Source organism: Homo sapiens, chromosome 16, assembly GCF_000001405.40.
Source record: "Homo sapiens chromosome 16, GRCh38.p14 Primary Assembly".
Taxonomy (NCBI): domain Eukaryota; kingdom Metazoa; phylum Chordata; class Mammalia; order Primates; family Hominidae; genus Homo; species Homo sapiens.
In genome coordinates this window covers 16,078,609-16,096,683 of record NC_000016.10, presented here as the reverse complement: position 1 = coordinate 16,096,683, position 18,075 = coordinate 16,078,609, and the positions used below count along the sequence as shown (strand labels likewise).

Below are 18,075 nucleotides of genomic sequence, written 5' to 3'. Positions count from 1 at the left end.
AGCCTCCCCGGAGGGAAGAATTCAACTCACAGCTTTATAGTCAACGCCTCATTTTTGACCAAAAACGGCATTCACTGGCTGCCTCACTGACCTCCTCCCCCAGCCTCGGCAGAGAAAGCTCTTCATCCTCAAAAGAGGAAGAAATCCGGCCTCTGAGGACAGCCAGAAGGAATGTGGGGGTCTGTCTGATGAACTCTCTCGGCAGCTGCTCTGTGCTGACAACTAATTTGTGTAACTTGGGGAGGTGCTTATGGCCCACTGTTAAGAAAAGAAATCAAAAGGTGGCAGGAGATGAGAAAACTCTAAGATATACTCTCAATCTTGTCAAGGGAGAAGGCCTAGGAAGGAAGGACAGGTGAAAAAGATGCCAAAGCTAACAACAGCTCCCCTTCTGGGCAGTGAGGGCAGAAAGATGTTCTTTCTCGGGAGTTTTTTTTTGTTTTTTTGTTTTTTTTTTGAGACAGTCTCGCTCTGTTACCCAGGCTAGAGTGCAGTGGCACAATCTTGGCTCACTGCAAGCTCTGCCCCCCGGATTCACGCTATTCTCCTGCCTCAGCCTCCTGACATTTCTGTATTTTTAGTAGAGATGGGGTTTCACCATGTTGGCGAGGCTGGTCTCGAACTCCTGCCCTCAGGTGATCCGCCTACCTTGGCCTCCCAAAGTCCTGGCATTACACATATGAGCCACCTTTTTTCCTGATTCTTTGTACTCTTTTGTAGTTTGCAAATGTCTACGATGAGCACATGTTGCTTTTATAATCATTAAGAAAAACTCGGTAAATACTTAAGAGGGAAAAATATTTGCCATGAGGTTAACAGATGGTTCAAGCAAGGTTTTGAAAAATGGCCACGGGCCAGGTGCCGCGACTCATGCTTATAATCCCAGCATTTGCATTTTGGGAGGTCAAGGTGGGAGGATCGCTTGAGCCCAGGAGTTCGAGACCAGCCTGGGCAACAGACTGATATCCCATCTCCATAAAAAAACATAAAAATATATAAATAAAATTTTTTAAAAGAGAAAAATGGCCACATTGTTGGAATAAAGATCCTTCTCCCAAGAGGACAAGGGAAGAATTCAGCAGTGTGAAGTCGGAGCACACAGGGTTTCTTGCTCGTGGTGCTTTGGATGTCCTGGCAAGGGGATTCCCTGTCACGGGGGGCAGGGTAAGGGGGAATTCGTCTTGAGTGCTGTAGGATGTTTAGCGACATCGCTGGCCTCTACCCTGCTTGCCTGCCAGGGGCAAACCCCACTCCAGTTTTGACATCCCAACATGTCTCCAAACATTGCCAACTGTCCCCAGGGTGGGGGCAATTTGCCCCTGATGGAAAACCACTGCTCTAGGTATTAGGTTCCTAAGAAAGAAACCAGAGTCATGAAGATGTGTTTTACCTTCCAGGTATGAAGGTTAATGAGCCATTTTTTTAAATCCCTTAAAAATTTGTTCCCCTAAGGGGCTTGAGGCAATCTGTGAAAATGGTTCACTATTCACTTTATCCAGAAAACACCACAGAATCATGCAGATCAAGAGGTTCAAATCTTCGTGTTCACCTTAAGAACATTTGTGAGGCCGGGCATGGTGGCTCATGCCTGTTATCCCAACACTTTGGGAGGCTGAGGCAGGAGGATCCCTTGAGGCCAGGAGTTTGAGACCAGCCTGGTCAGCATGGTGAAACCCCATCTCTACTAAAAATACAAAAATTAGCTGGGCGTGGTGGCACATGCCTGTAACTCCAGCTACTCGAGAGGCTGAGGCACAAGAATTTCTTGAACCCGGGAGGTGGAGGCTGCAGTGAGCCAAGATCGTGCCACTACACTCCAGCCTGGGCAACAAGTGAGACTCTGTATCAAAAAAAAAAAAAAAAAAAAAAGGCCAGGCGCAGTGGCTCACGCCTGTAATCCCAGCACTTTGGGAGGCCGAGGCGGGCGGATCATGACGTCAAGAGATCGAGACCATCCTGACTAACACGGTGAAACCCCGTTTCTACTAAAAATACAAAAAAAATTAGCTGGGCATGGTGGCGGGCGCCTGTAGTCCCAGCTACTCGGGAGGCTGAGGCAGGAGAATGGCGTGAACCTGGGCGGCAGAGCTTGCAGGGAGCCAAGATCGCGCCACTGCACTCCAGCCTGGGCGACAGAGCAAGACTCCGTCTCAAAAAAAAGAAAAAGAAAAAGAACACTCCTGAAAGCGCCCAGGCCATCAAAGGTATGCACGTACAAAAGGCCACAAAGTATCAGAAAGATGCCACTTTACAGAAACAACATGTACCATTCTGACATTATAATGGTGGAGTTGGTAGATGTACCCAGGCCAAGAAGTGGGGCTGGCCACAAGGTCGGCGGCCCAAAAAGAGCACTGAATTTCTGCTGCACATGCTTAAAAATACAGAGAGTCACACTGAACTTAAGGGTTCAGATGCAGATTCTCTGGTCCTTGAGCATATCCAACTGAAGAAAGCACCTAAGTTGCGTCGCCGGACCTACAGAGCTCAGGGTCGGTCGGATTAACCCATACGTGAGCTCACTCTGCCACATCCAGATGATCCTGCCTGAAAGGGAACAAACTGTTCCTAAACCGGAAGGGGAGGCTGCACAGAAGAAAAATATATCCCAGAAGAAATTGAAGAAACAAAAGCTTATGGCATGGGAATAAATTAGGAATAAAAGGAATGCCATTAAAAGTTAAAAAAAAAAAAAAAAAAAAAAGGAGAGAGGGAGACAAACAGTAAAAAAGATATATTTCTTAGAAATCAGTAAACTGAATATCCCGGGAGAGAGGTCGGTATGGCCCCATTCACAAGCCTGGTTCCTGCCCATCCCCCCTCAAGGATTCTCCCAAACCAAATACCAACACCTGCACCCCTTCAGCCTGGGTGTTCTAAAAAAAAGAGCTGATTAATCCAACAAGGAAAAAAGTTCCCCTTTAGGAAGAGCCAAAAATGTGGTTTAAACAAACCCAAGGTCATTGGCGCTTCGAGTTGGCTAAGGCTGGGCAAGACCAGACCCTGATGTCAAGACTTTATAGCCAGGGCCCCTCCAGAGCAATGGAAAAGGGTGGGTGGTGAGAGAGGGGGGTGCCCCAGTTTGATGTAAGACCCACTGCCAAGGACTTCTATGTAACCTCAAAGGCAGGAGGTAGGGAGGTCAAACTGGGAAAATGAACGCACGAGGTGCCAGGGTGGTGGGCGGCATTTGCATCACCAAATTAAGTGCTGATGTGTACAAAAATCACAAAGCATCTGGCAGCCTTCCATGTTCTGTATACACTGCTTGGATACTCTAGCAGCTGGGAAAGAAAGGCGGGGGTGCGGAACCTATCTGGGGCCAAGAGAGTTTAAGGACATTTTTTGCTCACCTGGACGGAAGGGTAGAGAGACAGACCTCACGCTGGGCAAAAGATTCAGCTAAACCCACACATTTTGATTTAGAGAGCACAAAGGGTATTGTCACCTAAAAGTAGCCTGCCAAGCAGGTCAGTGAAAAAGTCACCGAGAAGTTGCCACAATGCATTGCTCGGGCTGAGAGATAGACAAAGGGGGATTCTGCAGCAAGAAGAAACAGGCTAGACTCAAGGTAGAACTTCCCAACCACAAGGGAATGAACATGCAGAAATTCAGTCTAATCAAATAATTTAAAAGCTGAAGGGAATGTCAGCTATCATGCACTGGCAAGAAACAAAAATCCAACTGTATTTTGAGACATGGTCTTGCTCTGTCACCCAGGCCAGATGGAGTGCAGTGGCATGATTTTGGCTCACAGCAGCCTGACTCCCAGGCTCAAGCGATTCCCCCACCTCAGCCTCCCGAATAGCCGGGACTACAGGTGTGCACCACCATCCCAGCTAATGTTTGTACTTTCAGTAGAGACGAGGTTTCACCATGCTGCCCAGGCTGGTCTTGAACTCCTAACCTCAAGTGATCCACCCGCCTTGGCCTCCCAAAGTGGTGGGATTACAGGCACAAACCACCACACCCGGCCACCAACTTTTCCTTTAAAACCACCAGGGCTCATGACAGCAGTATTCACAAGAGTCAGAAAGTGGAAAAAACCTGAATGTCCATCAACCAGTGAACAGATCAACACAGTATGGTCTATCTGCACAATGGCATATTATTCCGCAATAAAAGGAAATGAAGCTACAACATAGACGAACCTTGAAAACACCACGCTAAGTGTAAAAGCCGCCAGTCACAACATTCCACCTATTGTGATGGCATTTATATGAAATGTCCAGAATAAGCAAATCTAGAGAGACAGAAAGATTAGTGGTTGCCTAGGGCTTCGGAGGTGCTGGGGAAAATAGGGAGTCATGGCTGATGGATTGGGGTTTCTTTTGGGGGTGATTAAAAAAAGTTCTAAACCTGACTGTGGTGATGGTTGGATTTTGTGATTTAAGTGGGTTAATTGTATGTTGTATGAATTTTTGTTTTGTTTTGTTTTGTTTTTCTGAGACGAAGTCTTGCTCTGTTGCCCAAGCTGGAGTGTAGTGGCACGATCTCGGTTCACTGCAACCTCCGCCTCCAAGGTTCAAACTATTCTCCTGCCTCAGCCTCCCCAGTAGCTGGGCCTATAGGCGTGCGCCACCACGCCAGGATAATTTTTGTATTTTTAGTAGAGACAGGGTTTCATCATGTTGGCCAGGCTGGTCTCCAACTCCTGACCTCAGGTGATCCACCTGTGTCAGCCTCCCACAGTGCTGGGATTACAGGCGTGAGCCACTGCGCCCAGCCTACGTGTGTGAATTACATCTCAAGAAAGCACTTATTAGAGATCACTAGGACCTCTGCAGAGAAGGAGCTCCCACCCCAGGCAAAGGATGAGAAACTCAGAGACCAACTTGAGAACCAACCCTGCCAGCAGCTGCTGTGTATCCTGGGGCTGGTCACTTTGCCTCTCTGACACTCAGTGGCTTCCCAGGGCAGTTAGACCAAAACCCACCTGGAAGGCCCTGCAGGACAATCACTGTGCTGACCTCTTCTCCTGCCCCCCACGTCCTGGCACACCATGGTCTGGCCACACCACCCTTTTTGTTTTGTAAACAAATTGAGCTCATGCTGGTCCTGAGGCCTTTGTACTGGCTGTTCCCTCTGCCCACAACACTTCCCAGATCTTCTCCCTGCTGGCTCCTTCCCATGCCAATGCAACCTCCCCAGAGAGGGTTTCCCTATCCCCTGCCTGAGTTGCCACAATGACACCCATCACTCCTCAGCCCATGGCATTGTCTTTTTTGTTTCCCCTCCAAAGCACTTAATAGCATCTGAATTTTTTTTTTTTTTTTTTTGTAGAGTTGGGGTTTCAGTATGTTGGCCAGGCTGGTCTTGAATTCCTCCTGGCTTCAAGGGATCCACCCACCACGGCCTCCCAAAGTGCTGGGATTACAGGCGTGAGCCACTGTGCCTGGCAAATTTTTTGTATTTTTTGTAGAGATGAGGTTTCGCCATGCTACTGAGGATGGTCTCAAACTCCTGAGCTGGAGCGATCCTCCCACCTCAGCCTCTCTATGTGTTGGGATTACAAGTGCTGGGAACCACCACGTCTGGCCCTGCTGAACTGCTTTATGAGGGAGGAAAGTGAAGCTCAGATGGGTCTGAAGGGCAGGCCTCAGGTCACATAGCTGGGGAGATGAGCGGCCGGGGATTGAACCCAGACGTCACCAACCCGAGCCTGCCAGCTTAACTCCGTGCTTCACCTCACAACCCTCACATCTCTTGTGTCACGTATGTCCTCAGTTTCTCTCAGCCCCGAGAGCCAGGACTTTAATTACCATCATTCCCATTTTTGCCATAAGGACCCTGAAACTCATCAGGTCCAAGGTCATGTTCCAGGAAGGCGCTAGACCCTGCCCTGAGGTCAGCTGAGCTGAAGCCTGGTGCTCCCATCCCCTGGCCATAAAGCACCGAGACTCTCTCCCAGTTCAGCGCTGCAGGGACTAAGGTGGTTTTCCACATTGCTTCTTTAGGGGGCTCCATCCAGCTCCCACCCTCATGCCCTGAGGAGCCGCCTTCCCCAAGTGGCTGGTGGCAACCTCAAAGAGGCCAATGTGGCCCTTCAAGGTGCCAGACACCCTGAGTGGGTGGAACCCTGGGGCTGCCCCTACCGTTCTCCTCTGCATCCTGCTCCTGCTCTGTGCTGGCATAGGTACGCAGGAACTCAGCGAAGGCGCCGTCTCGAGCCAGCAGCTCCTGGTAGGAGCCCATCTCAGAGATCTTGCCGCCACTCATGACGATGATGACGTCCACCTGCGGCAAGTAGCTCATGCTGTGCGTGACCAAGATCCGCGTCTGTGGGCAAAGGGGACACCCGGCCACGTGAGTGCACATGTGTGAGACTGCCTAGCTTGGCAGAGTGAAGACTAAAGGAGGAATGAGCCGACGAACACCTGGTGGGCAAAACTCAGGTCTGAAGGTGGGACATGCACCCGCGATAACAGCATCCAGGAGCAGCTGAACCTGTGCACACGGTCCTGTAACATGCATGTGCAAAGGGCCTGCCACGCCTCAGGTGCTGAGCTAAAAGCTGGGGAAGGGGAAGGAAACAAAGACCCCTGCCCCAGATTCCAGGGCCGCAGGAGAAACGAACACTAGTAGAATAGTGCTTGCTGAATGGCAAAAACACAGCAAAAAGGGGAACGGGTGTACCAAGTGTGCGGGTTTTGCAATTTTAACAAAGGTAATGGGGAAGGTTATTTTTTAACAAAAACCTGAATGACAAGAGGTAGGGAGGGAACCATACAAGTGTGTAAAGGAATAAAAGGATGGTGCCACAGCAAAACAGTTTGTATGCAATGGCTTTTTTTTTTTTTTTTGAGACAGAGTTTCACTTTGTTGTCCAGGCTGGAGTGCAGTGGCACAGTCTCGGCTCACTGCAACCTCCGCCTCCCGGGTTCAAGCAATTCCCGTGCCTCAGCCTCCCTCCCGCGTAGCTGGGATTACATGCGCCCGCCACCACACCTGGCTGATTTTTTTGTTGTTGTATTTTAGTAGAGATGGCGTTTCACCATGTTGCCCAGGCTGGTCTCAAACTCCTGACCTCAGGCAATCTGCCTATCTTGGCCTCCCAAAGTTTTAGGATTACAGGTGTGAGCCGCTGCGCCCAGCCCAATGGCTTAATTTTTTTCTTCTTTTTTTTTTTTCTTTTTGAGATAGGGTCTCGCTCTGTCGCCCAGGCTGGAGTGCAGTGGTGCGACCTCGGCTCACCACAACCTATGCTTCCTGGGTTCAAGCGATTCTCCTGCCTCAGCCTCCCAAGTAGCTGGGACTACAGATACGTGCCACCATGCCCAGATAATTTTTGTATTTTTTGTCAAGACAGGGGTCTCATCATGTTGTCCAGGCTCATCTTGAACTCCTGAACTGAAGCGATCCATTCGCCCTTGGCTTACAAAAGTGCTGGGACTACAGGCATGCGCTACCGTGCCCAGCTCTGGCTTAATTTTTTTCTAAAACAACTCCCGCTGTCAGCCACCCCCAAAACCACTACAAAATATGCACATGCATACATTTTATCTGCAAATCTGAAAGTTTGGGAAGACATTCATCAAACTATTAATAGAAGTCAGCATATGTTTCCTTAAACAGCTAACGGTCAATCTTTTCAGCTTTATGGATCTTACAGTTGCCATGGCACCAACTCAGCCCTGCCGAGTTGAAGCAGCTGTAGACGATGCTTTAAAGAACAGGACACGTGCGGTGGCTCACACCTGTAATCCCAGCACTTTGGGAGGCCAAAACGGGAGGATTCCTTGAGGCCAAGAGTTTGAAACCAGCCTGGGAAACATAGTGAGACCTGTCTCCACAAAATAAAAATAAAAATAAATTAGCCAGGCATGGTGCTGCATGCCTGTGGTCCCAGGAGCTACTCAGAAGGCAGGAGGATTGATTCAGCCGAGGAGCTGGAGGCTACCATGCCATGACTGTGGCACTGCACTCCAGCCTGGACAACAGAGGAAAACCCTGTCTGCAGAAAAAAAAAGAAAAAAAATACATTGGCCATGTTCCAATAAAGTTTTATTTATGGACACTGATATCTAAATTTAATACGATTTTCAAATGTCATAAAATATTCTTCCTGTTTAGATTTCTTCTATTTAAAAATACACACATCATTCTTAGCTCAAGAGCCATATAAAAAGCAGGCAGTGGGCCAGATTTGCTAACCCTTGCTCTCTAAGAGAAGAATTAAAGATTAGGGATGCAGGATGAAGAGGGACTATTTTATTTACTTTATTTAGATATATTTTCTGAGACGGAGTCTCGCTCTGTTACCCAGGCTAGAGTGCAGTGGCGCAATCTCAGCTCACTGCAACCTCCACGTCCCGGGTTCAAGACATTCTCCGGCCTCAGCTTCCCGAGTAGCTGGGATTACAGCCATGCATCACCACACTCGGCTGATTTTTGTATTTTTAGTAGAGATGGGGTTTCACCATGTTGGCCAGGCTGGTCTCGAACTCCTGACCTCAGGTGATCCACTGGTCTAGGCCTCCAAAAGTGTTGGGATTACTCACCGTGCCCAGCTTTATTTACTTTATATACATGCACACACACACACACACACACACACACGCATACACACATATATTATAAGAAGATATCCATATTCTTGTACTTTTCAATTTTGTTACAATGGGCATGTATTACTTAGTAATTTTCAAAAATGTTTTGTACTATTTTAAAATATGTTTACACAGAATGTTAGTGGTATGTATGGGAACGATTACAAGAGGTCATGTAGCACGATGTTTCCTGTATATATACGTGGAACAAGATAACCCTATTTAAAAAGTTTATACACAGAGCAAAAAGACTTGAAAAAAATACAAAACCTCTAACCAGTGGAATGTGTGTAACTGCTTCCATTTTTCTTTTTCATGTTTTTCTTAATCTATATGCCCCCCATGGGGATGTGTTAGTTTTAAAATCAGCAGAAACAGCCGGGTGTGGTGGCTCACGCCTGTAATCCCAGCATTGCAGGAGACCCAGGCGGGCAGATCACTTGAGGTCAGGAGTTCGAGACCAGCCTGACCAACATGGTGAAACCTCGATTCTACTAAAAATAAAAAAAATTAGCCAGGCGTGGTGGTGGGCACCTGTAATCCCAGCTACTTGGGAGGCCAAAGCAGGAGAAGTGCTTGAACCCGAGATGCGGAGGTTGCAGTGAGCTGAGATCATGCCACTGCACTCCAGCCTGGGCAACAGTAGCGAAACTCCACCTCAAAAAAATAAAATCAGGGGGAGAAAAAAAAGAGCCAGTGTGTACCCATTACCACAACTGCCCTATAAAAAGAACACAGGAACTATTTCCTATTATGTTAAGGTGTTGTGGCAATTTTCCGACCCCTCTACCCACAGACACCTCTGCAAGTAAGAAAATGCAGCCTGCTAGGTCACAGGCAATGTCTTGGAGTGGGATTCCCCGCTAAGAAGCCAGCCCTGTGACTTAATCAGGAAGAGAGGCCTCCCTTGGCCATGGAGAGGCAATGAATTTAACTCTGCGCGGAGGACTTACCCCTATAAAGACAAGTACAAGACGGCTGTCTTAGGAAGGCTTCCAAGACAAGCATGAGAAATGTGTTCTTTAAAGTCCAATTAAAAACAAAGAAAGCCAGAGAAAGTAAAGGACTCCTAAAGGGGACACGTTCTGACTTAACCAAAGGGCGAGACGGCCCAACACCAAGCCCCACCCCGCCAGCAGGCACCTTGTTCTTCAGCATCCCCTTGGGGCCAATCACATTTTCAAAGATGTGTTTTCCCACATGGGCATCCACTGCTGAGAGGGGATCATCGAAGAGGTAAATGTCAGCGTTGGAGTACACGGCCCGGGCCAGGCTCACGCGCTGCTTCTGGCCCCCAGACAGGTTCACGCCCTGGGGAGAGACACACACAGGAGTGGGTTTCCTGGGAAATCTTGAGACTCACAATACGTAGAAGCAGGCCGAGTGTGGTGTGATCCCAGAACTTTGGGAGGCCAAGGTGGAAGGACTGCTTGAGACCAGGGGTTTGAGACCAGCCTGAGCAATATAGGGAGACCCTGTCTCTACAAAAAAAGAAAAGAAAAGAAAAGAAAAAATTAGCCAAGCCTGCTGATGTGCGCCTGTAGTTCCAGCTATTCAGGAGGCTGAGTGGGAAGATGGCTTGAGCCCAGGAGTTCCAGGCTGCAACGAGCTATGGCTGGGCCACTGCACTCCAGCCTGGGCGACAGAATGAGACCCTGTCTCTTTAAACAAGAAAGAAAGAAAGGCATAGAGCCTGCTCAGGACACAGCAGGTCCTGGGTGAAGGCCCTGCAGAGCTGCACCCACCTCCTCTTCTTTAAGTTTGATGCTGAAGGCATGAGGTCACGCCTGCACAAACCTGGAGCCAGGCCCCAGCTCCACCACCACCAAGGATGGGATCACAGGCACAGGGTTTAGCCCCACCTGTCAACTGGGCAAAAGAGAAAACCTGAATCTCCCGTGAGGTGCTGAGCAGGGCACGTGGTGCACAGCAAGTGCTCAGCAAAGGATGGCTGACGGCACCAAATCATGTTGACCAGTGGGAAGGCCGTGATCCCTTAGTCTCATGGAAGGCGCTGGTGGACGTGGTCATATTATTGTTACTGCTGCTGTTGGTGACAGCTGCCATGTTTGCCAGCTTACTCTGGATCTGTCACTGTCTGGCAAAGCCACATATAGGTGAAGCAAGGCTCCGGCCTGGGGATGCTGAAATCCAGCCCACATCCCAGTCACCAGGAGGAAGGACAATGCATGGACCAGCAGCAGCGCCAGCTCCCACCATGACAGATAAGCCAACGTCGTTTCCCTATTTGGCTGGAAATCACAGGTTACTGCCCAGTCCCTCCTGAGATGCCTGCCCTGACTCCCATGCACTGAGGTGGGGTCCTGGCAGCCACGTGCCTTCTTTTTGTTTTTGGAGACAGAATCTCACTCTGTCGCCCAGGCTGGAGTGCAGTGGCACAATCTCAGCTCACTGTAATCTCCGCTTCCCAGGTTCAAGCAATCCTCTCACCTCAGCCCCCTAAGTGGCTGGGACCACAGGTGCACGGCACCATGCCTGGCAACTTTTTGTATTTTTAGTAGAGGTGGGTTTTCACCATGTTGCCCAGGCTGGTCTCGAACTCCTGACCTCAGACAATCCTCCCACCTTGGTCTCCCAAAGTGCTGGGATTATAGGCGTGAGCTACCGCGCCCAGCCAATAATTCGTTTTTTATTTCCAAGGAGCTGCAGGCTTATCTCAATTTTTAAACATCATTCACCACGTAAGAAAGCCGACAGAGCCCCTGGCTTGTAACTAAAAACAGAAATGGGCCAGTGCTTTGCACTCTTGGTCTTCCAAGAGGGGACACACCAGACGACCACCATGGGGTGCCAGAGCAAAGTGGCCAGGCAAGCAGCAGGGGAGGCACCCCAGGCCTTGAAGGCTCAGACCAAGGTGTGGAGGTGGGCAGGGGCTGGGGGTTGCTGTGAAGCAGCAGGAAAACCTGGGAGATGGAGCACAGCAGGAGGGAGGGTCTGCAGTGGTGAGAGGCAGAGAATGGCCCTTTTAGAGATGACAAAATGAGCAGGTAACAACATGGACACAGGAACCATGCTCTCTGCAGCTCTGTGGCTGTGTGGCCTCAGGTAAGTCACTTGGCCTCTCTGTGCCTCCTTTTTCCTCAATGATTACCTAGGTATAACAACAAATTCCACCCATGGGCTTGCTGTGGGGAAGAATTACGTGTAAAATGTTTAGCATAGTTCCCAACATACAGAAAATACTCAAGTTATAGGCCGGGCGAGGTGGTTAACATCTGTAATCCCAGCATTGTGAGAGGCAGAGGCGGGCAGATCACCTGAGGCCAGGAGTTCAAGATCAGCATGGCCAACACAGCGAAATCCCATCTCTACTAAAAATACAGAAATTAGCTGTGCGTGGTGGCAGGGGCCTGTAGTCCCAGCTATTCAAGAGGCTGAGGGAGGAGAATCACTTGAACTCAGGAGGCAGAGGTTGAACCAAGAGTGAGCCACTACACTCTAGCCTGGGCGACAGAGAGAGACTCCATTTCAAAAAAAAAAAAAGAACTTTGAGAGGCTGAGGCCAGCCGATCACTTGAGGTCAGGAGTTAGACACCAACCTGGCCAACATGGTGAAACCCTGCCTCGAATAAAAATACAAAAATTAGCTGTGCGTGGTGGCAGGGGCCTGTAGTCCCAGCTATTCAAGAGGCTGAGGGAGGAGAATCACTTGAACTCAGGAGGCAGAGGTTGCAATGAGCCAAGAGTGAGCCACTACACTCTAGCCTGGGCGACAGAGAGAGACTCCATTTCAAAAAAAAAAAAGAACTTTGAGAGGCTGAGGCCAGCGGATCACTTGAGGTCAGGAGTTAGACACCAACCTGGCCAACATGGTGAAACCCTGCCTCGACTAAAAATACAAAAATTAGCCGAGTGTGGTGATATGCACCTGTAATTCCAGCCCCTCAGGAAGCTGAGGCAGGAGAATCACCTGAACGCGGGAGGCAGAGGTTGCAGTGAGCTGAGATCGTGCCACTGCACTCCAGCCTGGGCAAGAGAGCAAGACTCCATCTCAAAAATAAATAAATAAATAAAAAGAAAGAAAGAAAAGAAAGAGAAAATGCTCAGTAAGTGTTAGCTATTGTGCTATTTTCAGTATTATGGCTATCTTGACAGGGACTGTGAACATATGAATCATCGACTCCCCTCCTCCCAACAGCATGCCCTCTGTCATGTGACTCTGCAGTCATGTGACCACAAAGGTAGAATGTACTTCCTTCTTGGTCCCTTGCCTTTGAGCTTGGCCAAGTGACTTGCTTTGTGAGTAGAAGGGACAGTGTACTTTAAGGGACATTGCATGCTTTCTGGGGGGCCTATCTTGGGCCTCTGCTGCCACCATGAGAAGAGCCCCCCTTTGGAAAGCTGTGGACCCCTCACCCCGGTCCCCAGCAAAAGCTCTGTAAGTGAGACCTGAGCCACACCCACAGCCTGGACCCAAGTTCAGCTGGCCTGCAGCGTGCAGCAGAGCCGCCCAGCTGAGCCCTGCCGGGTCAGCTGATAGCAGCAGACTCACAGCCCACTGAGATTGTGAGAGCATTTGTTACGCGGCAACAGCTGACTGATTCAGGGGCCAACATCCAACCTATACTGACCTTCTCGCCAATCTCTGTCCGATCCCCACTGGGCAGGATTTCCAGGTCTGGGAGGAGGGCACAGGCCTGTATCACGGACCTGTAATATGGTTCCTCCAGCTGACATCCAAAAAGGATGTTTTCTCGGAGAGAATCATTCTGAATCCAGGCCTGCTGTGGCACATAGGCCACGGAGCCCTAAGTTGCAAATGGAGAACGAGGTGAGACAGACACACAGACAGATCTGATCAACGAGACAACAGCTGGCCCACCCGCCTGCTAGGAGGGCCTCACTTCACAAGTCATTTTCATCACAACTATTGCTTTGGCAAGAGGGAAACTGACTCACAAAGGACAACAGATGCCAGGGCTGGGATCAGAACCCACAGCAGGTGAATCACTGACTCCAATATCAGGAGTCAAAGAGTTGATATCCTCGTTGATAAGATTACAGTTATTTACTTAGTAGCTAGCTATTAACTCAATGCCTACAGCGGTGATCAAAACCCCTGCTTCCAAAGAGTGGAAGTCCCTCAGGTGACGGAAAACTACTTGATTACAGTTACGGTGGACGCAAAGATAAAAAGATATATGACACTTTTTAAGAGTCTAACTTGACTAGGCGCAGTGGCTCATGCCTGTAATCCCAGCACTTTGGGAGGCCAAGGCAGGCAGACTGCTTGAGGTCAGGAGTTCAAAGCCAGCCTGGACAACATAGAGAAATCCCATCTCTAAAAAAAATAGAAAAATTAGCCAGGCATGGCGCTGTGCATCTGTAGTCCCAGCTACTTGGGAGGCTGAGGTGGGAGGATCACCTGAGCCCAGGAAATGGAGGTACCACGAGCTGAGATTGCACCGTGCCACTGCACTCCAGCCTGGACCACAGAGCAAGATCCTGTCTCAAAAAAATTAAAAGACTGACCTAGTTTGGGACATCCGGGAAGGATCTTTGAGGAAATATCCTTGCTAAAAATTGAAGCAAAGACTCCTATATCAAGCATCCATTTCAAAGGCTTATTTTTATTTCCATATGTCAGGTATCACAAACAGCATGAGAATAAAGGCTAGAGTAAGGATATTTGTTTTGTGTATTTTGCTAATGAAAATGCTGAGGTAGTTAATTCTCTATATATTTATTACGTTTGTAGAAACAAAATCTTGCCATGTTGCTAAGCCTGGTCTCAAACTCCTGGCCTCAAGCAATCCTCCTGCCTTGGCCTCCTGAAGTGCTGGGATTATAGGCATGAGCCATCATGCTCAGCTCAAACATATGTTTAGACAAGAACCAAAAAGTGAAGAATGAGTCAGTTTCATGAGGAGAAGAGGGAAGAGCATTCAAGTCCGAGGGAACAGCACATGCGAAGGCCTGGAAGTGAAAAGTACTTGGCACATTCAAGGAACAGAAAGGCCAGCGTGACAGGAACATCGATCAATCCTGTGAGGGAACGACTGGCAGAAAACACACCAGGGACAGCAAGGGGGCCTATACTTGGTGGGGAGCATGGGCTTTATCAGAGGGGCAAGGGGAGCCCCTGAAGATTTTTTTTTGAAACGAAGCCTTGCTGTCGCTCAGGCTGGAATACAGTGTCAAGATCTCAGCTCACTGCAGTCTCTGCCTCCGGGCTCAAGGGATTCTCCTTCCTCAGCCTCCTGAGTAGCTGGGACTAAAGGCACACACCACCAGGCCCACTAATTTTTGTATTTTCAGTAGAGACGGGGTTTCGCCATGCTGGTCAGGCTGGTCTCAAACTCCTGACCTCAGGTGATCAACCTGCCTCAGCCTCCCAAAGTGCTGGGATTACAGATGTGAGCCACCGCGCCCAGCCAGAAGATTCTTGAATAAGGGAATTCTAGAGAGGGCAAAGCTGACAGCAGGTCCCAGGTACCCTCATTCTTACTCTAAATTCTCAAATAATTAACCTGCTGACTTGAATATCCTAACTTTTAAAAAGCCAAAATGTCAACAGTGGTGCCTTACCATAGAACCCACAGAAATTTCAGACATAATATACACAAACCACACCAACTAAAACATTTGGGAAAAGATAAATATTTTATATACATTTCTAGCACTCCCCTTACCTAGGCCAAACAACCAATAATAAATAATCATCTGGCCTGAAATGCTAATAGTGCCAGGATAGCAGAAAGCTGGGGTTAAGGAAACAGAAAGCAATGTGGATCCCATCGGGATTTGGAATTTTCTTCCATTAATCTAGCTCTCATGGTTCATTCATCTTATTTTATGGCAGGAACTTGAAAGTAATGATAAAACATTTCTTAAAACAACAGCTAAAGGTCATTAATTTGGACCCAACCACAATGTATACTTTCTAAAGGCACTGTATAATCAAAGAAAGGGTTTTGCTCTGAAATAAAAACAATGTCATTAACTAGGCCAGGAGCGGTGGCTCACGCCTGTAATCCCAGCACTTTGGGAAGCCGAGATGGGGAGATCACCTGAGGTTAGGAGTTCTAGACTACCCAGGTCAACATGGTAAAATCCCGTCTTTACTGAAAATACAAAAATTAGCCGGGTGCAGTAATGGTGGGTGCCTATAATCCCAGCTACTCAAGAGGCTGAGACAGAAGAATCGGTTGAACCCAGGAGGCAGAGGTTGCAGTGAGTCAAGATCACACGACTGCACTCCAGCCTGGGCAACAAAAAAAACTCTGTCTCAAAACCCACAACAACAAACAACGTCATAAACTTGACATTCCCAAAGGCAGATTCCAAGAGACAAATGTGCAGTTGCACAGACACTAAAGAGGTGCGGACAAGTACACCTGGGACACATAAGGTTAAACAGTTAATAGATTTTTTCTCCTTGCAGGACTTGTCAGAGCCTTTAATTTGCTAATGTTTACTGTAAGTCTCCAAGAGGGAGGGGGCTGGAGTATGCATTATTTCCCACGCTTCTTTGAGCCTGGGGTTCTTTATCGCCCAAATGTCCTGCAAGATGAGCTGGCTGCAGACCACACTCCTGGAAATGCTGGTAGCAAAACTTCCAGGGACGTGTCGTTACACTAGGAAAAGGCCTTCATGGGGAGTGAACTAAATGCAAACAAAGGCTGTTGATTTCCAGTGGGGATTATTTGTAAAGGAGCCTCTTAAGCTCACTCCTGGGGAATTTCAACTTACTTCAAAGTACACTGTGTATTTAAAAGCAGTAAAACTGCAGTCTTCTTTTAGCTCCATATTAAGAATTCAACACTAAAAATTTAAACTGTTCCCTTTAAAAAATGTTCTAAGAAAATATTCCAACCACATAAACATTTTTGTTTTGTTACATTTATAAGAATAGATACTCAGAGATCCATAAAGATAAAGAACAATCCAAAAAGACCCAAACAGACCAAGAGACACTCAGTGACAGGCAGAGACGCAAGGGAAGGAGACACAGGCTGCGTACCAGGGAGTCTTCGTGTGTCTACTAAGTATTTCTTAAGTGGCCAAATGCGGTGGCTCACACCTGCAATCCCAGCACTTTGGGAGACAGAGGTGTGCAGATCACTTGAGGTCAGGAGTTTGAGACCAGCCTGGCCAACATGGTAAAACACCGTCTCTACTAAAAAAATATAAAAATTAGCTGGACATGGTGGCGCATGCCTGTAATCCTAGCTACTCGGGAGGCTGAGGGAGAATCGCTTGGACCCAGGAGGCAGAGGCTGCAGTGAGCCGAGATCACGCCACTTCACTCCAGCCTGCGGGACAGAGCCTGACCCTGTCTCAAAAAAAAAAAAACACAATAATAATGATAATAATAATAATAAAATAACAGCTTAATAAAGAGGTAACAAAATAAATATTTATTAAGTGCCTACTATATACTGGGCACTATTTTAAGTGCTGGGAGACAGATGGAAATAAATGATACCAAAATCCTGCCTTCTAGGACAGCACGGAACAGAACAGAAAGAACGAGAGAGAAAGAGACAGTGGAAAGATACAGGAGGAGGAGGAAAAGAGACGTTGCTGCTTTCGCTTCTGGCACAGGGACAGTCAAAAGAAACACCATCATTTCTGAGCTTTTCCTCAGACCACCAGCTTCCCCACTGCCCCTCCCCGCTGGTCCTCATCCTACCTTGATAGCCACGTGCCCCTCCACTTTGTCCATCTCAGCCAAGAGGGCTGAGAGCAGGGACGACTTTCCGCAGCCCACCTGGCCCACCACGGCCACCAAAGCACCTTCGGGGATGGAGAAGGTGATGCTGAAACGACACAACACACCTGGCTCAGCCACGCTGAATGAGGCCTGCCGGGCTAATGCCCATGGCCACCGAGCCTCAATTTACCCCAAGTAGAGAAAGAGAAAGACAGAAGGCAAGACTGTACTAAACACTGAAGGCCTCAACATTCCTTCCATTTCTACTGCTGAGTTCAGTTCAGTGACCTGTCTCAGGGGGCCTCCAGGTGGGAGGCAGGTGACAGGTGTCCCTTAGAGAAGTGAGGCAGGGAGTAACCTGAGGGATCCTGTCACAGTGGGCTTCTGGAACAGTTTTTGCCCCTCGGAGAGGCAGAAACTTTACTGGGGGCATGACGCAAGGTCTGAAAGGAGAGGACACCTCAAGACAAACTGGGGCCGGACACGGTAGCTCATGCCAGTGCTGGTAATCCCAGCACTTTGGGAGGCCAACGCAGGCGGATCACGAGGTCAGGAGCTCGAGACCAGTCTGGCCAACATGGTGAAACCCCGTTTCTACTAAAAATATAAAAATTAGCCAGGCGTGGTGGTGGCAGGGCCTGTGGTCCCAGCTACTGAGGAGGCTGAGGCACAAGAATCACTTGAACCCAAGAGGCGGAGGTTACAGTGAGCTGAGATCGTGCCACTGCACTCCGATCTGGGCAAGAGCGTGAGACTCTGTCTCAGAAAATAAATAAACCAAAAAACTCTGACAAAAAGCAGGAGTGTCCCACACACAGAAACATGTGGAGAGCCGGAGAAAGGTGTAAA

At 48.6% G+C, this 18,075-nt stretch overlaps 1 protein-coding gene and 1 pseudogene across 27 annotated transcripts in view; one reads left to right on the top strand and one right to left on the bottom strand.

Annotated features, from left to right (window-relative positions):
* Positions 1 to 18,075, bottom strand: part of ABCC1 (ATP binding cassette subfamily C member 1 (ABCC1 blood group)) — a 193,911-nt gene that overhangs the window by 46,370 nt on the left and 129,466 nt on the right. For 16 of the 27 annotated variants that reach the window (XM_047434134.1, NM_004996.4, NM_001438755.1 and 13 more), the window contains 4 exons: positions 17,206 to 17,332; positions 13,142 to 13,318; positions 9,693 to 9,860; positions 6,096 to 6,279 (listed from right to left, as the gene is read on the bottom strand). In XM_047434134.1, coding sequence (XP_047290090.1) covers positions 6,096 to 6,279; positions 9,693 to 9,860; positions 13,142 to 13,318; positions 17,206 to 17,332 — 656 coding nt within the window. The remainder of the gene's footprint in view (positions 1 to 6,095; positions 6,280 to 9,692; positions 9,861 to 13,141; positions 13,319 to 17,205; positions 17,333 to 18,075) is intronic. The other 11 variants (NM_019862.3, XM_047434148.1, XM_047434147.1 and 8 more) reach the window with 3 other exon arrangements.
* On the top strand, positions 2,171 to 2,651 carry RPL17P40 (ribosomal protein L17 pseudogene 40; annotated as a pseudogene).